The 22025-nt window shown below is 41.5% G+C and overlaps 2 protein-coding genes across 7 annotated transcripts in view, besides 6 other annotated features; one reads left to right on the top strand and one right to left on the bottom strand.

Moving 5' to 3' along the window:
• Positions 1 to 15258, bottom strand: part of CNOT9 (CCR4-NOT transcription complex subunit 9) — a 28242-nt gene extending 12984 nt beyond the window's left edge. For 4 of the 6 annotated variants that reach the window (NR_073390.2, NM_001271634.2, NM_005444.3 and 1 more), the window contains exons 1-3: positions 15119 to 15258; positions 3357 to 3536; positions 1011 to 1126 (exon numbers count right to left, since the gene is read on the bottom strand). Coding sequence is in view for 5 of the 6 variants with exons in the window: in NM_001271634.2 (NP_001258563.1) it covers positions 1011 to 1126; positions 3357 to 3536; positions 15119 to 15142 (320 nt within the window). In the remaining variant the exon portion in view is untranslated. Of the gene's footprint in view, positions 1 to 1010; positions 1127 to 2982; positions 3088 to 3356; positions 3537 to 15118 lie in introns of those variants that run through there. The other 2 variants (XM_047446272.1, XM_047446271.1) reach the window with 2 other exon arrangements.
• Positions 5985 to 6485: an enhancer, noted in NCBI's record as "H3K27ac hESC enhancer chr2:219442335-219442835 (GRCh37/hg19 assembly coordinates)". NCBI's record gives its function as "activates a minimal SCP1, AML or CMV promoter by ChIP-STARR-seq in primed H9 embryonic stem cells {active_cell/tissue: H9 hESC(primed)}" and the evidence as "EXISTENCE:reporter gene assay evidence [ECO:0000049][PMID:30033119]".
• Positions 14648 to 15275: an enhancer, noted in NCBI's record as "OCT4-NANOG-H3K27ac-H3K4me1 hESC enhancer chr2:219433545-219434172 (GRCh37/hg19 assembly coordinates)". NCBI's record gives its function as "activates a minimal SCP1, AML or CMV promoter by ChIP-STARR-seq in primed H9 embryonic stem cells {active_cell/tissue: H9 hESC(primed)}" and the evidence as "EXISTENCE:reporter gene assay evidence [ECO:0000049][PMID:30033119]".
• Positions 14664 to 14853: an enhancer, noted in NCBI's record as "active region_17125". NCBI's record gives its function as "activates an Ori minimal core promoter by ATAC-STARR-seq in GM12878 lymphoblastoid cells {active_cell/tissue: GM12878}" and the evidence as "EXISTENCE:reporter gene assay evidence [ECO:0000049][PMID:35858748]".
• Positions 15276 to 15903: an enhancer, noted in NCBI's record as "NANOG-H3K27ac-H3K4me1 hESC enhancer chr2:219432917-219433544 (GRCh37/hg19 assembly coordinates)". NCBI's record gives its function as "activates a minimal SCP1, AML or CMV promoter by ChIP-STARR-seq in primed H9 embryonic stem cells {active_cell/tissue: H9 hESC(primed)}" and the evidence as "EXISTENCE:reporter gene assay evidence [ECO:0000049][PMID:30033119]".
• Positions 15564 to 15623: a silencer, noted in NCBI's record as "silent region_12323". NCBI's record gives its function as "represses an Ori minimal core promoter by ATAC-STARR-seq in GM12878 lymphoblastoid cells {active_cell/tissue: GM12878}" and the evidence as "EXISTENCE:reporter gene assay evidence [ECO:0000049][PMID:35858748]".
• Positions 15714 to 15783: a silencer, noted in NCBI's record as "silent region_12322". NCBI's record gives its function as "represses an Ori minimal core promoter by ATAC-STARR-seq in GM12878 lymphoblastoid cells {active_cell/tissue: GM12878}" and the evidence as "EXISTENCE:reporter gene assay evidence [ECO:0000049][PMID:35858748]".
• USP37 (ubiquitin specific peptidase 37) overlaps positions 15746 to 22025 on the top strand; it is a 118101-nt gene continuing 111821 nt past the window's right edge. The window contains exons 1-2 of the mRNA NM_020935.3: positions 15746 to 15919; positions 21284 to 21424. The gene's annotated coding sequence lies outside the window, so the exon portion shown is untranslated. The remainder of the gene's footprint in view (positions 15920 to 21283; positions 21425 to 22025) is intronic.

The raw sequence follows: 22025 nt of genomic DNA, 5'->3' as shown, positions 1-22025 counted from the left end.
TGTCCAAGAGATTGTCCTAGATTATCTCCCTCACCTATGACTGAATAATAGTATTCACAGGTGCAGTCGAATAAACCTTACAAACCAATACAACAAAACAAAGCAGCCATTATCAGGCTTACCTGCTATACTTTAATAAGCACATTCTTCTTTTTTTGTTAGGGCATTTCAGATACACAAACCATTCTGAAAACAGTTTAGTCAGGCAACTAATAAGGAAATCAGTCTATTATTTTATATTATTTATAGTTACACCTTGTAGAAGAGCCAACGCCCAAGATTTTTAACACTCAAAGTACTCTTGTGTTTTTGTTAAGTGCTTAAAAGTAATTTTCTTAGTAATTTCTCTAAAGCTGTGTAAGGTCAGTGCCAACCTAGCATACATATTTCATAAGGAAACTTGACAAAGAGGAAAGGCTTTAATAAGATGACTATTAAGTGCCTTTGGGGCCATAAAAGCCCACAAAGTAGATTCCTGAACAGGATTTCCCTTTTCTTAATTTTTTAGATATGACAGGTGGCAAAAATATTTTAACTTACATGCCAATTCTCGTCTATTATAGAGGCCGCCCAGAATGCTATGTTAAGAAGGATTCTGAAGTCAAATCTGGGTTCAGTGTGGGAAAAGTGCTGGAAAAATAATTACTAAACTCCTCTTATATGCCATGCACTATGCCTCACAGATGACATAGTGTCAATAACAGGTCAGGGAGTGAGAAGTAGCTGTATGCCTGATACCTTTCCTGTAATGTGAACACTGTTTCTTTAAAGTTCATTGGGTAAAAGTAAATAAGAATCCGGAAGACCAGGAGAGAGAGAGAGAGAGAGAGAGAGAGAGAGAGAGAGAGAGAGAGAGAGAGAGACACACACACACACACACACACACACACACACACACACACAAACGTTCTCTCTCTCTCTCCTCCATGCCCTTCCTTTTATTATTCAGAGAACGTTTAGGACCATATTCAATGTATATCTCCCCCAAGTGACTCACCCAAAGCATTTACCTGGTTTCTGGATGTGATGCTACACATTGCAGTAATGCCAGAGCATTGCAAACTCTGTTAGACTGGTGTGCTGTCAAGGTGGGTGGGTTGATAGATGGATAAATATTTACAATTTCCTAAAAAATGGAAATCAGCATCAGATGAATAAGGAATAACTAAAAATTAATTCCCATGGTAATAAAGCAAAAAAAAAAAAAGGCAAATAAAATAGCTCTTAATTCTGTGCATCTTTTAAGAACTCAGTCATCAAAGAGGGAGCAGAAATAATGCTCATATCCTTTCATCACAAACTTACTTGGCTGAGACTAGCTAAGACATTTCTACATTTGTCTCTAGGAAGATTTTTTTTTTTGAGACTCACATTTCTACATTTGTCTCTAGGAAGATTTTTTTTTTTGAGACGGAGTCTCGCTCTGTTACCCGGGCTGGAGTGCAGTGGCACGATCTTGACTCACTGCAAGCTCTGCCTCCCAGGTTCACACCATTCTCCTGCCTCAGCCTCCAGAGTAGCTGGGACTACAGGCGCCTGCCACCACGCCCAGCTAATTTTTTGTATTTTTAGTAGAGATGGGGTTTCACCGTGTTAGCCAGGATGGTCTCGATCTGCTGACCTCGTGATCTGCCCGTCTCGGCCTCCCAAAGTGCTGGGATTTCAGGCGTGAGCCACTGCGCCCGGCCTAGGAAGATTTCTGTGGAGGCAAATGTAGTCATCTACACTTCCTCTTATATTCTCCAGCTACTGAGGCTATCAGTTGAGGGATACTCAAATTTTTATAATTTTGCTAGCATCCTGCTTTAAGTTACAGTGATGAGATCACTGGCCAGAAAGTGTTAAGTCAACCACGGTGACTCATAAAGAAGTTTGAATTTGGTTAGGTAGTAACATGGTAAGGACATGAATCAATGGGTGGGGATATGTATAAACAGCAGTGAATATATGCACTATCTGTCAAAAAGTAATGATTTACTCAATACAATTCCATTTACATTTTTTTTCTTTTTTTTTGAGACAGGGTCTCACTCTGTCATCCAGGCAGAGTGCAGTGGCATGATCATGGCTCACTGCAGCCTCCACCTCCTGGGCTCAATTGATCCTCCTACTTCAGCTTCCCAAGTAGCTGGGATTACAGGAGTGTACCACCAAGCCTGGCTAATTTTTGTATTTTTTGTAGAAATGGTGTTTCGCCATGTTGCCCAGGTTGGTCTCAAACTCCTGGGCTCAAGCAATCCTCCTAACTCAGTCTGCCAAACTGCTGGGATTACAAGCATGACCCACTGCACCTGGCTACAATTTTCCATTTACATTATTTGTAAAACTTTTACATAGAAAAACGTTCCCATAACAAAGATCAGTTTCTTGGCTAAATGCAATAGAGATGGAATGTGAATTTACTTAAGAGTTGAAAAGTTAATCTAATTGTTAGGAATTTGGGGCAATACTTTAATGGATGATCATGCCACTACCTAGGTATTTTGGTATTGTTATTGTACCATATCAGTTAATTAGCCACCAGTGACCATTCTGGTTTGAACTGAACTTCAGTTATCTATTCTTTAATGTACAAGTGTACCCACCTTTAATACTACAGCTGTTATACCTTCAACATTTCCTTTCCAGGCCAGGCATGGTGGCTCATGCCTGTAATCTCAACATTTTGGGAGGCCAAGGTGGGTGGATCACGAGGTCAGGAGTTCAAGATCAGCCTGACCAACATGGTGAAACTCCGTATCTACTAAAAATTAAAAAAAAAAAAGCCAGGCATGGTGATGCAGGCCTATAATCCCAGCTACTCAGGAGGCTGAGGCAGGAGAACCACTTCAACCCGGGAGGCAGAGGTTGCAGTGAGCCGGGATTGCACCATTGCACTCTAGTCTGGGCGACAGAGCGAGATTCCGTCTCAAAAAAAAAAAAAAAAGAAAAACAAACAAAAAAACCCAAAAACCCATTTCTTTTCCATAGAATATATTGTACCTTGTGGTCCTTATACTCTACTTTCCACCTTCCTCCCCCTGTCATGTAGATTTATCTTACAGTACTCCTAAAGCGGTGTTCGTCAAAGCGTAGTTCTTAGATCACTTGCATCACAATCACCTGGGGGAGGTGAAAGTGCTTATTAAAATATAGATTATAGGGCCCACCTCAGACTGACTAAATTGAATCTCTTGGGTAAGGATCCAAGAATCTGCATTTTAACAAATACCTCAGACCTTTCTAAAACAGATTCTTACAAATGCAGTTTTTTAAAGAATCATCCTCCTAAAGTCTTCAAATCATTTGGGCAAAGGTAAAGAAATATACAAGTGTAATGAAAAGAACTGAACTGCCAATCATGGACATGAACCCACCTGTAAAAGTGCTGCAATAGTACCAAATGAATGCCACAGCATGGGTGCAAGGTCAGGAACAGATTCTCGCTTCTTACTTAGCTCCAGCAAAGCATTTTCCCTAGTCTCAGGACTGGACAGCTCATTGATCCACTGATAGATCTTTTCTCTATCCACTTGTGCCAGTGTAGTAGGCACAGGCTTCAGATGAAGACAAGAAAGTAAATATCAGTTTATTAGAGTCAAACCAAGTCTTACCCTGCAACAGAGTTTTAGAGGAAATATATTTTTCATGAATACCAGGGGAGCGTTTCTAAATACATACATTTGATGTCAACTATTCAATCTCTTTGGTAGTTACTGATGAAAATCTAAAATGCACACATACCCTTTGATAATTCCATGTTTAGGAATTTATCCTGTAGGTATAATTGGGCTGTGCTAAAGACATACCAGGATGTTTACTGTTGCACTGTTTTAAAAGCAGAAAAGTGGCCGGGCGCGGTGGCACACCCCTGTAATCCCAGCGCTGTGGGAGGCCATGTTGGGTGGGTCACTTGAGGTCAGGAGTTTGAGACCAGCCTGGCCAACATGGCGAAACCCCGTCTCTACTAAAAATACAAAATTTAGCTGGGTGTGGTGATGGGCGCCTGTAATCCCAGCTACTCAGGAGGCTGAGACAGGAGAATTGCTTGAACTTGGGAGGTGGAGGTTGCAGTGACCCGAGATAGCGCCACTGCACTCCAGCCTGGGCGACAGAGCAAAAAAAAAAAAAAAAAGCCAGGTGTGGTGGTGCATGCCTGTAGTCCCAGCTACTCAGGAGGCTGAGGCACTAGAATCGCTTGAGCATGGGAGGTGGAAGTTATAGTGAGCTGAGATTGCACCATTGCACTCCAGCTTGGGCGACAGAGTGAGACTCTGTCTCAATAAACAAACAAACAAATAAATAAATAAATAAATAAATGCAGAAAACTGGGCCAGGCGTGGTGGCTCATGCCTGTAATCCCAGCACTTTGGGAGGCCAAGGCAGGTGGATCATGAAGTCAGGAGATTGAGACCATCCTGGCTAACACGGTGAAACTGGTGTCTCTACTAAAAATACAAAAAATTAGCTGGGCGTGGTGGCAGGCGCCTGTAGTCCCAGCTACTCTGGAGGCTGAGGCAGGAGAATGGTGTGAACCCAGGAGGCGGAGGTTGCAGTGAGCCGAGATCGCGCCACTGCACTCCAGCCTGGGTGACAGTGTGAGACTCCGTCTCAAAAACAAAAATGCAGAAAACAAACAAGTATCTCTCACTAAGAGACTGGTTAAATATTGGTGCAGCTTTATAATGTGATACTATGTAGTCCTTTAAAAAAAGAAGCAGCTCTCTATATACTGTATATTGATACTAAGTAAAAACAATAAAAGGGTTACAGAAGAGCATATAAAATGTTTCCATTAATATACACACATATAAAAATAAAAAATACATATACATTCTTACACATTTACATATAACATTTCTAGAAGGACACATAAAGAACTGTTAACTGTAGTTACCTCTAAGGTTGGGGATTTACAGGGAGACTTACTTTTCATTGTTTACACTAAAACCTTTTGCATAAACTTTTTTTAAAAAACCATATGCATATAATAGTTTTTGAGAGGAAAAAAAATTATGCCTTCCCAATACTGGTCCCTCCCCAGTGATTCTGACATCCCCCCTCAACTGAGCAGAAAACCTGTAATTTGGAAAAGCTCTCCCTCTTAATGATTCTTCAGTATATTCTCTAACTACATCCCTTTGAGAACCATTCATTACTTACTCATGTAGGAAATACATACTTAATAGGGCATGCTTTCATTATTATGCTAAAGAATCACAATATTCCCCCCAAATTTGAATATTTTATAATTCTCTATAGTCATCAAATATGTTTGTGACCTTGGTTAAGTTCCTTAATTATTCTTATCTGGAAAACAAGATGGGAGACTAGAAAAATGATAATTGCTACCCCTAAGCTCTAAACTGCTAACAAATTCCTGGTGATTTCCATCTCTATGCCCAATATGTTCTCAGGTAATTGCCCCCAACCATGAGAAATAAAAGAAGGAGCGGGAGGCGGGGGGGAAGGCTATCTACACTTGCAGATGAGATCACTAATGTTCAGAGGAATTAACTCACTCAATTTAACCAGGTATGAAGGTATGAAGTTGCATATTCCCGTACTTTTTTGAACTATATTACAGTTTCTCACAGTACTTATAAGTTCCCAAAAGATCTTAGCTTGACAGAATGATGACCTACCCATTGTACAGATGTAAAGACAAAGAACACAAAGAACTGCCTTTGTTGAAGATCAGAAGCATAAAATAGACTTTGAAGTGGATTCAAATTTACTCTACCCAATCTGAATAATGGCCTTTTAAAAATGGAAGCTTCATTGTAAGTTTTTAGCTTTATTTTTACTATTTCACTAGCCTGACAGAAAGAACCACAAGTTGTTCTGCTAAATAGACTGAAATACAATGCAGCTTAAGCTTTAAGTGCCTTACAGTAATCTGCTAAAAGCTGTTTTGTAACTCCCTTCAGGGATGGTCCTCAAGGAATCAATCATAGGCTCTTAAAGCAACAATATGATAGAAGGAATATGGTAGCTTTTTTCCTCCTTTCCCAACAGCAAAAGCAGTGTTGTTCAGGCACTTGCCCTTTCTAGGCAGCCACAAACAGGCCCTCAACTTAAAAACTATTTTTGGAAATGTAATTCCTACCTGAAGATAGGGTATGTGTTTATTTAGAATATTACATCACCTTAGACGCTCAGCAGAAACACAGGATAAAATTTTAGTGTTAGGTTTCCTGCCCAGTCTCTTGGATGACCCCACAATCCAGTAACCAAAGGGGGCCTCACAGATACTGGTCTGGCAATATAGTACCTTTCCTGATTAATCAGTACCCATTCCAGCTGACCTTCCCCAAAGTCTTGTCATACAGATACCACCATCAGTAAACTCCATCATCCCTACTGGAGCCAGTGTGTGACTTGCAGTTGGCACCTTGTACCCCATCTTGCCCTGGTAACCACTGGTTTGCATACCATGCCTCCTGAACACCAGGCCCCATCCCTACATATTCTCTTTCTGGAGCTGGCCTGATGCCCACAGAGAAGATGGCCCTGCTGGCAGTGGTGTAGGCACTCTGAAAGGCCAATGCCTGGTGCGTACACGGGTTCCTAAAGCCATGGACACCTGCTGCTAGCAATACTCCAATTTGTGAGATTATTTGTGGGGGCTGCAGCCTCCATGTGATTTTGATTCTAAGAGAGCTAGAACCATGTCAGGTGGGTGGTAATGTGGCCCCCATGGGCACTAGCTTGGTGTTATGGGTTCTGCTGTCATTCTAGCCAAAAGGAGGGCAGTTTGGTGCCAGGAAATATCTAGGGTGGGGATCCTCCTTTTCATCATCCCTGTTGCATTTCACCCCCAATTTAATAACAGCAGTAAGTTACACCAACTGAATACCCACCTGTCATGGGATGAATACAATTTTTTAAAAATAAAAATGAGAGCTTAAAACATACAGTGCTTACTCTGCCAGGCACTGTCCTAAATACTTATATTTACCAGCACTCTCATTTTATAGATAAGGAAAATCTGAGGCACAGAGAAGTTATGTAAAATTTAAATGGCAAGCTAGGATTTGTACCCAGGTGTTCTAGCAACAGAGCCCACACTTTTAACCGCTTTGCTAATGCTGCTTCTCATCTGCCTGAAAGACAAAATCTGATCTAAAGATGACTTTTTTTTTTTTTTTGAGATGGAGCCTCACTCTGTCTCCCAGGCTGGAGTGCAGTGGTGTGATCTCAGCTTACTGCAACCTCCGCCTCCCAGGTTCAAGCGGTTCTTCTGCCTCAGCCTCCCCGGTAGCTGGGACTACAGGCATATGCCACATGCCCAGCTAATTTTTGTATTTTTAGCAGAGATGGGACCTTCCCACGTTGGCCAGGCTGATCTCAAACTCCTGACCTGAAGTGATCTGCCTGCCTTAGCTTCCCAAAGTGCTGGAATTGCAGGTATAAGCGACTGTGCTCAGCCTAAAAATGACTTCCTAATAAATTATATTCTTTGACCTAGACAATATAGTTAATACATAAAAATCTCAGACAAAAAGTAAAATGTTATTGGTGGTAGTTCAACAAAATCTGAAAGAACACTCAGTACTATGAACAGTAGCATTGATGTTAGGAGAAATTCTCTACTTATTGAGATTACAAAGCACTTAATAGGTATTGTTTTCAGAGAGAAGTCAGTACAATAGTTTCACATAGTTCCCTGTGTCACATTATGGATCAGATGGGGCATAATTTACTTAGTGAGAACCACCAACACACACATGGACATATAACAAGCAATTTTGTAACACACATATAGGAATTTCATTGTTTTGGAGAATAAAAAGGAAATATTCTTATATTTTGAGTTATATATTAATTTATATAACCAGATGATTGATAAAATATTTTGGACATTCCTAAATAAAACACCAAAACTCAAAATGTATCTTACTCTCCTTCCATATCCCAAGAGTTATTTAGGCCCATCTTTCACAAAAAGAATCTGTAATTGACATCTTTTTAAAAGGAGGCGGGCAGTAGAAGAAGGGGTACGGCAGGTGAGGGAAGAGTTAGTTCTGTTGTACCACCTTTTTTTAAAAACATGGTTTCATTTAATGATCACAACATGGTGGTTATTAACCTCATTTAACAATCGATGAAACCATGGGCAGACAACAGGCAGATTTACTCCTCATGCCACTCTGTAACGATCACCTCTAATGATTCCTAGTTCAGATGCTACAACTCTTTGAATTTTTAATTTACTAATACATTTCTAAGGCTGTGGCTGATATGGAACTCAATCTAGTAGCACACATTGCTCACTGACAGGCAAGCAAATTAATCTATGACTTCTCTACTGGAAATTACCTTATTTGAAGCATTAATAATAATTGCAGGATACCAACCAAGAGAGCAGAGGTTGACATTTTTTGAGGCCCAGACCCTTTAAGAATCAAATGAAGTCCGGCACGGTGGCTCACGCCTGTAATCCCAGCACTTTGGGAGGCCGAGGTGGGAGGATCACAAGGTCAGGAGTGTGAGACCATCCTGGCTAACATGGTGAAATCCCATCTCTACTAAAACTACAAAAAAATTAGCCAGGTGTGGTGGCAGGCACCTGTAGTCCCAGCTACTTGGGAGGCTGAGGCAGAATGGCGTGAACCCGGGAAGCGGAGCTTGCAGTGAGCGGAGATTGCACCACTGTACTCCAGCCTGAGCCACTGTACTCCAGCCTGAGCTACAGAGCAAGACTCATCTCAAAAAAAAAAAAAAAAAGAAAAAAGAAAAGAAAAAAGAAAATTGTGGATCTTTTACTCAGAAAAATACACAACTGCAAAAACACGAAAACCTACACATAATTTTAAGGAGTTCACAGAGTTCCTGCAATGTATCCATGTACCCAGGATTAAGAATCTGTTTATCAAATTGAAGAACAGGAAAGACCTCAATTTGCAAGGAACTACATGTGTATATAATTGGAACACACACTGGCGTGGGAGCCTGAAGTGACTTCAAAATCCAGTTTTGCTCTTTCTAGAATTGTGTGACCTAGGATAAGTCATTTAACTTTCCAAACCTCAATTTTCTCATTGTTAAAGTGAAGGAACTATATTAAATAATTGTCAGTCTCAGGCAACTCTAAAATCTTAGAAATTATTTAGTTCTTAGTTGTGAGAGTCTAATCTAAGAGGCTCTTTTTTTAAAAAAAAAACTTTGACGTATAATTTGCATACAATAAAAGTGAACTCATTTTAAGTGTACGCTTCAATAGATTTTTGAGAAATTTATACACCTAAGTAACTGCTACCATAATGAAGATATAGATCCATTCACCCCAAAAAGTTCTTTAATGCCCTTTTCAGTAAACCCCATACTCAGCCTGAGGCAATCATGGGTGTTTTCTGCTACTATAGATTAGGTCTGCCTTTTCCAGAAATTATTAATATGCAGTAATATTTATTGAGCATACCATGTTTCAGGCACTGTGGATTACATCATTTTATTCTCAAAATTCTAAGAGGAAACAGGTTAATAGAGGTTTAATGTGCTCAAGGTCACACAGCCAGTGTACAGCAGAATGAGACTGAAACTCTACTTCTCTCTAGAATCGATGAGTTCTATCTGGTCTCAAGGATAGAAAGCACAAATACTCCTCCAAGTTGAAGAAATTACTCTTAAGAACCCAAAAAAACTTTCTTAAATTTAATATTCCCTTAGCACAGAACTCATTAACAGCTGGATTTGGATACACAGTGAGCTCAATTACATACCTGGACACATAGAATCATCATGAGAAATCTGATTTAGATTATGAGTTATCCTTAACACTTCCAAGAATAGAAAAAAGCTCTATAGTACATTACCGTAGATTATTAATTGTAACCTGCTAAAGTCAACAGTCCTGGCCAGGCACAGAGACAGGTTCACACCTGTAATCCCAGCACTTTGGGAGGCTGAGGCTGGTGGATCACTTGAGGTCAGGAGTTTCAACACAGTGAAACCCTGCCCCTACTAAAAATACAAAAATTAGCCTGGTGTGGTGTCGTTTGCCTGTAATCCCAGCTACTCAAGAGGCTGAGGTGGGAGAATCGACTGAACCCAGAAGGTCGAGGTTGCGGTGAGCCAAGATCACACCACTGCACTCCAGCCTGGGTAACAAAGCGAGATCCTGTCTCAAAAACATAAAATAAAATAAAAAAATAAAGTCAACAGTCCTGTTCTTTTAATAAGTGTGTTAAAAAACTTTCATATTATCAAAATTTAGGTGGTAACTCTCCCTCCTTTTCTGTTTAATGATTTGTATATGGAAAATGTATTTCAAATGACACCTTTTTTCCCCAAGAAAGCTTAACATACAGATAAGGTATTTACCAAAGTAAGTTACCAATGGTTAACTCCAAGTGTCACACAGGGTACTGACAGTTTAAGTTGGTCTTCTATTTCTGAAAGATTTTAACACATAATGTGAAAAGTATAAAGATGTTTATAAATTATTTTAAATAAAACATGACATTTATCTATAAATGGTAAAGAAAATGATTTCCTTCTCTGAGTAAACTAAAAAATTGATGCTGATGGTTTCTTAAACAGAAAATAGCCAAATTATCAATGTAACTTTATGTTTAAGGGCCAAAATAGCTGTTTATTTTCCTGCCAATACATAAAGAATGGAATCAGACTGAAATAGAGATTATTTTCCCAAGTCTGGAGATCAACACGTGGATTTGGGTGTCAGCATGGTATTCCAAGAAAATGAACTTTCTAATAGTGCTGGAAGTACTAAATTAGCTTACCTTCATAATTTTATAAGAGCCAGAATGTATCTTTTTTTTTTTTTTTTTTTTAAGATGGAGTTTCGCTCTTGTTGCCCAGGCTCGAGTGCAATGGCACAATCTCAGCTCACTATAACCTGCGCCTCCCAGGTTCAAGCGATTGTCCTGCCTCAGCCTCCCAAGTAGCTGGGATTACAAGCGCATGCCATGACGCCAGGCTAATTTTTCTATTTTTAGCAAAGACGGGGTTTCACTACGTTGGCCAGGCTGGTCTCGAACTCCTGACCTTATGATCCACCTGCCTCAGCCTCCCAAAGTGCTGGGATTACAGGCATGAGCCACCATGCCCGGCCCAGAATGTATTTTTTCAAAATAACTTTTAAAAAATGAAAGTGAATAAGGAAAGATAAGTTAGGCAATTTGCCTAAAGCTTCATCAGGAGACTCGGGAGGAGAAAGTGAATTAAATCCTTTAGAGTGCAGTGTTCTTTCTACTTGCCAAAAAGGAAGGCATCTGGCAGTCCATGACAGCTTCAATAAAAAGATGTAAAATAACTAATGATGCTGCTGGTTAGGCGGAAAGTGAGAGAAAGACAAGTGTTTAGGGATGCTAGAATTGTCAGTGGAAATCAGTGGGAAATTAAAAACAAAACAAAACAAAAACACATCCCCTAAAGGCTTACCTCCGGTTGTTTCACAAGCATAACATCCATTACAGAATACCTATGGCATGCAAAGATTTGTAGTTTTCTTTTTCCTTTGAGACAGGGTCTCACTATGTCGCCTAAGCTGAAGTGCGGTAGCATGATCATGGCTCACTGCAGCCTGGAAAATTTTTAAACATTTTTTGTAGAGATAGGTTCCTACTGTGTTGCCAAGGCTGGTCTTGAACTCCCGGCCTCAAGTGATCCTCCTGCCTTGGCCTCCCAAAGTGCTGGGATTATAGGTGTGTGAGCCTTTAATTTGGGAATTAAATTCCCAAAGCTGAAGTCTGGGAACAAGTCACATATCAGTGAGTGAATCTAGCCAACCACTGAGCATTTTGTTATTCTTTCTTTCATTTTTTTTTAAAGATGGAGTCTTGCTCTTGTCTCCCAGGCTGAAGTGCAATGGCACGATTTTGGCTCACTGCAACCTCCACATCCTGGGTTCAAGTGATTCTCCCGCCTCAGCCTCCTGAGTAGCTGGGATTACAGGCGCCTGCCACCATGCCCAGCTAATTTTTGTATTTTTAGTAGAGATGAGGTTTCACCACGTTGGCCAGGCTGGTCTGGAACTCTTGACCTCAGGTGATCTATCCGCCTTGGCCTCCCAAAGTGCTGGGATTACAGGCATGAGCCACAGTACCCGGCCGCATTTTGTTATTCTTACTTAATCTTTAGAATAATCCTGTGTGGTACTTCTGTCCTTATTTATTAGAGGAGAGAAAAAAGAAATTATGCTCAATGGTAGCGGTAATGAATATATGAAGATGTTAGGATGTATTCCATCAAGAATGACAACAGCAAGGTCGGGCGCAGTGGCTCATGCCTGTAATCCCAGCACTTTGGGGGCTGAGGCGGGCAGATCACCTGAGGTCAGGAGTTCGAGACCAGGCTGACCAACATGAAGAAACCCCATCTCTACTAAAAATACAAAAAAAAAAAAAAAAAATTAGCCAGGCGTCGTGGCTAATGCCTGTAATCCCAGCTACTTGGGAGGTTGAGGCAGGAGAATTGCTTGAACCCAGGAGGCGGAGATTGCTGTGAGCTGAGATCTCGCTATTGCACACCAGCCTGGGCAACAAGAGCAAAACTCTATCTCAAAAAAAAAAAAAAGAATCACAAAAGCCTACTACACTAAACATTTCTAGCATACGACTACTCAAGAGTCAAAATTTAAGATACTTCCCATACTATCTTAATTTTTCCTTCTAGTGAATAATATCCTGCATTTACATGTGACTACATTCTCTCTCTCTCTTAATAGACAAAGTCTTGCTATGTTGCTCAAGCTGGAGTCCAGTGGCCATTCACAGGTGCCTTCATAGCACACAGTAGCCTGGAACTCCTGGGGTGAAGTGTCCTCCCTCCTTAGCCTCCCAAGTAGCTGGGACTATGGGCACACACCACCCGGCTTACATTCTCATTTGGCAGTACTTTGTTATCTCCCTAGCTGAAATGATGATTTACCTACTATTTTAAAAAAGAGATAAATAAAGTCACAGATACACACTTTCATTGTTCGGCAGAAAGTAAGCATCTTCTCAAGTGGCTTTGATTATTCTGGGCACGGTTGCATGCATTAATTATGCTTCTCAAATTCCAGTGAGTGATATGCATCATTACTGTCCCTTTACCCACATCAGAATAATGCAGTTTGCTCCAACGGAAGGCATGAAGAATTGAGAATGAGGTGGCTCAACTTTTTACGTTTTAGTTTCCTCACTAGCTAAATATAACCTAGTGAATGAGTGGTACGAAGGAATTTGTCAGAGCTGCTACGAGGTCCAAACATCCTAAGTGAAAGTGCATCTAAAAGTTCAAATTTTAAAATTAATGTAAGGCACTGAAAACGTGAAGAAACATGTATTGAGTACTTATTATAAGTAATGTACCACAGCTTTAATGGTTGTTTAAAAGATGCATTAGGGAGCAATTGAAAATAAAAGGAATAGCTACAGAGTTTGGGAAGGCACAGGGAAAAGAGTGGCTCAGTATCGAAGATAAAATTCGGGAGAAGACACAATCAGATTTTGAGAGATGGACAAGTCAACCTTAGAATAATTTCCCTTATTTAACCTGTCTTTCCCCTAATAGCAGCACACTCATCTTTCAACTTGCTTTTCCCCACGTTACATATATAATTTGGGAGAAGGAACAAAAAAGCTAGGGGAATTGCAATGACCTAATTGAGATATAAAAGATACTCTCTACATTGAATAGTTACAAACACTTAGAAACAGTATGAAAGGAGGCAGAGATACCAACAGCACTGGAACTGACAATGGAGATCAAATCTCAAAAAGCAGTTTTCTATAGCTTAGTCATACTTGGCTCAATTTTTCACTTTTTGTACTTAAACGTATGGCAATTTTTGGTGCTTTATTTAGTAATTACGTCATTTTGCCTGATAATACAATTTCAGTACATTACTTTCCTTAAATCATTTCCCTTTGGTTAAACAGAAAAAGCAGAATTGGTCTTCAGGCAGGTATGCTCAAATCAAATGATCTCCTTTCCCCATCATGGCAATGTTCTTTCAGTGGTCACCTTCCCTTCAATATTCTTTCATGCAGCAAAGTATCTGAGTCTTTAATCTTGTACTAGGAACTGTCCTGGCACCGGGGAAACCACGTCAACAGGGCTCACATGATCCCTGTCCCTGCCCTCAAGGAGACAGACAACAAATAAACGAATACAATAATTACACGGGGATCAGGGCTGTAAAGGGTACTCTACTAAAGTTAGAGGCTGCGGAACTAATTTGAAGAGGATAGTCAGGGAAGGCCACTCTGAGACCGATTTAGGCAGAGACCTGAAGAAAGATGGATTTGGATAAACAGTTTAAGGAGAGGAAGGAGAGTTCAAGGAAGAGGTACCAATTACACTCATGCTGTGTATGTAAAGGAGGAGGGATAAGAAGAACATTCACTCCAGGCATAGAGACCACAAAGTGCATCTTGGAGAAAAATAAGCGCGTTGCAGAGGGTTAGGTGGCCAGAGTAGCTGAAGCTTTAGGAGCAAGAGACATAAAACGAGATTATAAACGTGGGTTAAGTACCACATCATACAGGGCCGTGCAGGCTATGGCAAGGAGTCTAGATTTTATTTAAATGCCAAGAGAAGTAGGATTACTTCGGATAGCTGAATTACACTATCTTTCTTTTTTGTTAAAAGATCACGCGGGTAAAACGAGATGTGTCGAGGAAAAGTTTTAAATGCAGAGAACCTAAGTCAGATGCAAAAATTATGCACTTTTCCGGGCCTCAGGTTTTCCATAAATAAAGCAAGTGGTTTGAACTAGAAGCCATTTCCTTCCCGCTGCGACGTGGTGAGTTCTAAGAGCAGGGGCCGCGTCAGATTGACCATGGAATTCCCCTCATCGACGCCGGCGCCCAGAACACAACTGGCGCCCTGAAACTGTTGGTCAGCGCAATAAATCAATGAATGGCCTGCTACGGGCGTGGGACCAGGCCCCGGCGCCCGCAAAGAACGCGATGGGTCGCGCTGAAGGCCGCGAGAGGCGTCCGGCAAGGAAATAGGGGCCGGCTCCACCACAACCAAAGCGTGCCGAGGAGGGGAACCGGGGCCTTGGAGATTGAGGGCAGAAAAAAATCAGACTAGGGACCCGACACCGGGAATTAGGAGAGAAGGCCGAAACGTGGGTCTGAGAAAGGATTCTGGTTCCAAGCCTGGGGGCCCAGCCACTCACCGCAGCCGTCGCCAGGCTGTGCATGTTGTGAGCGGCCGCCGCTCTCTTCCACAGCCGGACGCGTCCGACCCGCGTCCCCCCTTCAGCACCCCTGCAGCGGAAAACAATGAGCCGCCGTAGCCGCCATCCGACTCCGGCTCGCTCCGCCCACTTCGCGGCCCTCTGACCTCTCACCCCTGACCCCACCCACACATCCTCTTCCCGCCTCCAGGGCCTAGTTAACAGTCCCAGAGTATGTCCTTTGCCCCTTAAGATTTAGGACCGGAAGGACGTCCGCGACCACTAGTCCCCGCAACTTCTGGCTTTGAGCAGTTATTTCCAGAGAGCGGCGTGAACTCTGACCCTCCTCCAAAAGCCAGTGAACGGCGGGAAAAGATGGACAGTCCCGGCAAGACAACTATTGCGCATGCCCGACTGGGTTGCGTAGGAGGGAAATGGTGGGGGGGCGTCGAAATCGGGTGAGGTGGAAAGTGCGCGTGCCTACTACAGTCACGGCAGGGGCGGGGCTGCCCGGGCTAGGCCGCTCTAGGTACTGGCGGGGCGGGGCGAGGGCGTGTGAGGGGCGGAGTTTTCGACTGACGCGCACGCGCCTGTCTGGTCGCGTCGAGTGTGCGTGCGTGCGTGCGTGTTTGCGTGTGGTCACAGTTCCCGCCATCAGCCGCTCTCCCTGACTAGGGGTAGCTAGCGGCCTCCCTCCTTTGGGTTCGGTATCCCTACTTCCATTACCCTCGGCTCCTCCCACTCCTCGCGGGCTCCGTGCTTTCCGCGGGTCTGTCCGGGGGCTCCGGACCCTCGGCGCAGGTAAGGCGGGCCGGGGTAGCTTCTCAATTGAGCCGTTTTCCCTACCTCCTCCTCCTTCTGTGCGATCCGCCCACTCGGCGTTCACTCCTCTGGAGTTCGCCCTGCTGCTACTCAGCCCGCCCACAACCCCTCGATGCACCCCCAGCCTCACAGGTACTACCTTTGGGTGCACTGCCCCGGCTTCCACCTCTCCTTTGACTTGGTCTCCACTGCCACTCGCTCCCTCCGAAACTCAAACCTGGCCCCTTTTCTCTGGGGCTGTTGTCGTTCGCCTCTTACCTTCTAACAGGGCCTGCTGTCTCTTCAGGTGACTTTCGTTACGGCACATCCACCAGGCCTTGGACATGATACTCATTCACTCTCTTGACCATCTTCACCTTCCTCTTGACCAGTCCTCACTGCAAAACATGAATTGTATTTTTGTTGTGCATTTCCTTGCGCCCATTTCTAGCCGCCAGATCAGGTTGTTAGATGTAACTATTTTAAGTCATGATCCATGAAAGGAAATGATGATTGATGATAAAATCCTGTGTCCTGAAGAGTTGTCCTAAAGTGGTTTTGGGGTATTCCTCTCAAAATTTCAGCTCTGTATAAATTCCTTTATTGAGGTGGCAATTCCTGACAAGTGTCTAACTGGAAGAGATACCTGAGAGGGAATGTCAAGTAGGCAGTTGGATATAGTGGGTTTGGAGATCTTAGGAGAGTTCTGGGCTGCGTACGTAAATGTGCGCGGTGTGTGTATGTGTTTGTCATCTGCCATATTGATAGTAATTGAAGCCATGGATGTGGATGAAATTGCCGAAAAAGAGTATAGTGCTGTAAAATAAAGGCACCTAGGATGGAGCATTGACGAATTCCTGCTGTTTAATAACCAATAGAGGAGGATGCGTCTTGCAAGCCATGAAAAAAGTCATCAGTAGTGTTGCATTCTGCTGAAAGGTAAAATGGAAGGAGGACTGAAAAACCCAGTGATATAAAAGTACTCACTTGTCTTAAAGATGTTTGATGAAGTAAAATGAGTATTTGGGTTCAGTCCTAGGTCCTCTTCTTTTACTCTTATATTCCTCCCTAAGCTTTAAATTTGATCTATATATTGATGACTTAAAAATTGTTATTTCCAGCCTATTCCCTTTGTTTTCAGCTCCACATCTAGATAGCCAGCTGTCTGCTTGACATCTCAACTTGATTTTTTTCTTAGGAGTTTCAGATGCAACACAGCCAAATCCAAAGCCTTGATCTTTCTCTCCATATCGAAATTCTTTCTTCTCCAGTGTCCCAGTTTATTAAGTGGCACATGACACAGGCTACACACTTGGGAGGCATTCTTGACTTCTACTCTCTCCAAGTTCTATCCTACTTCCAATACGTGTCTTGCATCTTTTTCTGTACATTTTCACTGTCACTTTTCTAGTTTAAGCCACAGTCCTTAAAAAACCTGGACTTGATTGCCTTGGCTTCCTGTATTATCATCTGTAAAATGGAAATAGTAATTTTCAGCCTATTGGATTGTTATGAGGATTAAGTGAGATAACCATGATAAGCACTTGGCACAGAGTAAATGGCCAGTAAGCATTAATTGTTATTGTTATAAGCTGATCAACTCAATACTCTTCTATCTGGTTACATTATTTTCTTCTGTTCTTGCTCTTAGTCACTCTCCCAAAACCCAAACCAACCATATATGACTTCCTCATTCAGTAGTAACATATTTCTTTGCTTAAAACCTTTTGGTGGATTTCCTCCTGGTAAGTGCTTGTTACATTTAGGATAAAATTCGGAATCTTTACTGTGGTTCACAAGACTGCATAACCTGGTTCTTGCCTGCTTCACTAACTTCATCTTCCTCCTCTCCTTCACTAAACTGTAGCCACATTGCTTTTAATTTCCCTAGTCATATCAAGTTATTTTACAATTCAAGGCCTTTGGGGATGCTGTTTGCCTGGATTGTTCCAGCACCACCATCTATCAGTCATCTCCTTCTGCAGTTTTCAACTTAAGTGATACCTTCTCAGGGAAGCCTTCTCAATGTTATCCTCTACCCCAAGTCTTAATCTTAAGACTCATCATTCCATGTATCTTGCTTTATATCATTTCTCAGAACTTGTAATTATTGTTATTATTATTTTTTGAGATGGAGTTTTTGCTCTGTTGCCTAAGCTGGAGTACAATGGCATGATCTCAGCTCACTGCAACCTCCGCCCCCTAAATTCAAGCGATTCTCTTGTCTCAGCCTCCCAAGTACCTGGGATTACAGGCACCCGCCACCATGCCCGGCTAATTTTTGTATTTCTAATGGAGACAAGGTTTCACCATGTTGGCCAGGCTGGTCTTGAACTCTTGACCTCAGATGATCCACCTGCCTCGGCCTCCCAAAGTGCTGGGATTACAGGTGTGAGCCACTGCACCCAGCCCAGAACTTGTAATTATATATTTACATGTGTGATTATTTAAAGTCTGTCTCCTATTAGAATATAGGCTAGTGACCACTTCTTTTTTATTTCCCAATAATTTGTTAAATAAGCTGGAAGTTGCTGTAAGAACCATCATGTCTTTTGGAAGCAAAGCTTGCTGATGTTCTTGTCATCATCTCATGACAAACACTTTTCATTCTGAAAAGTTAGAGGACACATGAGAAAAAACAAAACGTTTTCCAACTTTGGATTCTTTTACCCATTTTTATATCATAAAACCATTCAGATTTTAAACTCTTTGAATTGGAGATAAACTTTAGGTCAGCTTTCCACTTTCAGTAACAAAACTAATTTTTTCTCCTTTGTCCATTTGTTTTATAGGTCTTTTTAAAGGAAAGAAAGCCTTCAAAAATCAGAGTAGTGGTTTGTATATTTTAACAACCGGTTAATCTTTAAGACCAGTGAAGATGAGATTTCCATAAATAAAGCAAAATTCCATATTTAAGTCAGTTGTTGGTGAATGACAAAGAAAATATTAATATATGGCCAGCTGCATTGGCTCATGCCAGTAATCCCAGCATTGCGGGAGACCAAGGTGGGCGGATCGCTTGAGCCCCGGAGTTCGATACCAGCCTGGGCAACATGGCAAAACCCCATGTCTATAAAAAATTACAAAAATTAGCCGGGTTTGGTGGCATGTGCCTGTAGTCCTAGCTACTTGGGAGGCTGAGGTGGGAGGATTGCTTCAGCCTAGGAGGTGGAGGTTGCAGTGAGCCAAGATGGCACCACTGTGTTCCAGTCTGGGTGACAGAATGAGGTTCTGTCTCAAATGAAAAAGAAAGAAAATATTAAAATATAATAATTTTTGTATGTGTAGAACAGGATTCGTGTTGAAAAATAGGGAATTTAAAATGGAGGTGTATGAATACCAAACACAAGCATTTGGATTTATTTTATTTTCTAGGTAGTGATGAGCTATTTAGTTTGGGAAGGTCCTAGCATCAATGGCAACCATTTAGCACTTAACAAGTGTTTGTTATTTTGTTGGAGTATACAGTTAGAGTACCCAAGTTCTGTGTGTTACCTCCCTGTCCCGTGCCCCACCTCTACCCCCCACTCCCACCTTAGGGAGAAAGTTAAGAAGATACCTAGTGCATAGTTCAGTTGAAAAGTGGTAAAAAGAGTAGTTCTTTAGAAAGGATGTTACAATGTAAAGGATTTGTTGGAGGTAAAACCCCAAGAGCTGAGACTGGAAAGGGAAGGGGTTGCCATAATTCATTGATGAGGATGAACTGTGGTTGTAGTTAAAAATGTAGGTTCTGGCATTAGACATAGCTTTGTTTCTCACTGACTGTATTTATAAATTATGTAATGTCTCTAAACCTCAGTTTCCTCATCTGTGAAATAGAGATAATATCCCTATCACTTAGGATTATTTTAAAAATTAAATTGAGATAATGCATGTATGGCATTTAGCACTGCTTAGTAAATGTTGCATAATAAATGTTGGGTTGCATAATAAATACTAGGTGGGATGATGGCATAGTGATGAGTTTCTGAGAGTAGTAGCTATTGAAAATCTGGGATTTGAGTAGATAAGAGTGAGGATAAAGCTGATGCCAAGATTTCTTGCCTGAATGATGGTAGAAGGACAAAAGTAGGGAAGTCTGGGAGCTTCTTTTTTTTTCTTTCTTTTGAGACGGAGTCTTGCTCCCTCACCCAGGCTGGAGTGTAGTGGTGTGATCTCTGCTCCCTGCAACCTTTGCCTCCCAGGTTCAAATGACTCTCCTGCCTCAGCCTTCCAAGTAGCTGGAACTACAGGTGTGTGCCACCACACCCAGCTAAATTTTGTATTTTTAGTGAGAACACATTGTGGTCTCAATGTGTTCGAGACCACATTGGCCAGGCTGGTCTCGAACTCCTGACCTCAGGTGATCTGCCTGTCTCTGCCTCCCAAAGTGCTGGGATTACAGGTGTGAGCCACCGTGCCTGGCCTCTAGGAGCTTCTTAATGAGGGCATGGACTGTATCATCTTCACATCTATATGCCTACCAGGGTGCCTTGAAAGTGCAGTAGCTTAATAAATGTTGTTTACTAAATGAACAAAGGAGTTTAAAGTTGATGTTGTAGCATTCAGATAGGCAGTGAGAGATGTGCGGGTAGAACTTCAGAGAAAGTTCAGGCCTAGTGAAGCCTAATTTGAGAAACAATGTTAGCTTTGAAAGAAAAGTGAAAGCACCAAGTTTACCCACCTTTTGAAATAGTATCAACATGTTATGGAAGTTTTAAGACTTAAGACATTATTATGTAACAATGTTTATAAAGTGAACAAAGGACATATTCTTTCTCACTGACTTCTTAGTTTCAAAATGTAGCAAGAATGAATAAACCAAGGTACAAGTTGAACAAGGTGCAGGCTCATCCTGTAATCCCTCATTATGCACAGCAGATAAGTTCCTAAAGTTCTGTTGATCTTTTATGTGTGTCTCTGTGTGTTGTGCATCATATTTTAAATATTTTCATTAAGGTAATCTGTAGTTTTTAAATAACCAAGAAGTTAATCTTTGTTGTATAAACGATCACTTTCCTTTTTTTTTTTTTTTGAGATGGAGTTTTGCTCTTGTTGCCCAGGTTGGAGTGCAATGGCGTGATCTCTGCTCACTGCAACCTCCACCTCCTGGGTTCAAGCAATTCTCCTGCCTCAGCCTCCCGAGTAGCTGGGATTACAGACATGCACTGCCACGCCCAGCTAATTTTGTATTTTTAGTAGAGACGGGGTTTCTCCATGTTGGTCAGGCTGGTCTCGAACTCCTGACCTCAGGTTATCTGCCCGCCTCCACCTCTCAAAGTGCTGGGATTACTCGCGTCAGCCACCGTGCCCAGCCCACTTTCTTTTAAGTATTAATTTTGTATATTGGGTTCTTTTTAAAAAGCACATTTTTATTTTCTTTAGCTGAGTTGATGGCTTCCGGAGAACTGGCATAGCTGCAGAATATGAGTAGTGTCCCAAGAAGAGTGCTTTGCCTTTGGCACAAGGATCAGAATAAAGGTGAATTGCTATTACATAGGGTTTTTCGGTAAAAGTCACTGAAAAGTAAGTAATGTTTTTGTTTTGGATATATGTTTCAAAGAGCATGCAATCTGGCGGGAACTGACAGTTTTGTGTTTGTTTTGTAGTAATAGTTTTTGTGTTTTGGCCATACTTTATTTACCACTGAATGCTCTCTGATTAAGGATGTTTTCAAAGCAGTACCTAAAATGTGAGCACTTAAATAAATGTACAGGGCATAGAAACATTTTTGCTAATATTGTTGCTTTGAGCATTCATGGTGATGCTCAAAGTTGAACAGTAATTTTAATAATTGTGAAGAAATTTAGAGAAAGAATCTCTGGACATATTTAAAGAATAATTCATTTTAATTATCTTTTGTCTTCTTATTTTTTTGCTTTAATAAGACAATTACCATTACCGAGTTTAAGGAAACCCTGTCTTTGTCTTAGGTTCATAGGAAGTTTAACTGTTACTGGATCATGCTTCATGCTGAAAAAGAAACTTAGTTTTTTACTCTTAACCAAGTAGAGCAAGCCCTGATAATATAATGAATGAGCAAATGTAGCTGTCAATTCATTTAGTGCAAAAGCAGGTAATGAACTAAATTGAGGCATTATGAAAAAGTTTATTATATTGGTTCTGC

Source organism: Homo sapiens, chromosome 2 (genome assembly GCF_000001405.40).
Source record: "Homo sapiens chromosome 2, GRCh38.p14 Primary Assembly".
Classification (NCBI taxonomy): Eukaryota; Metazoa; Chordata; class Mammalia; order Primates; family Hominidae; genus Homo; species Homo sapiens.
This window is presented reverse-complemented; position numbering and strand designations above follow the sequence as displayed.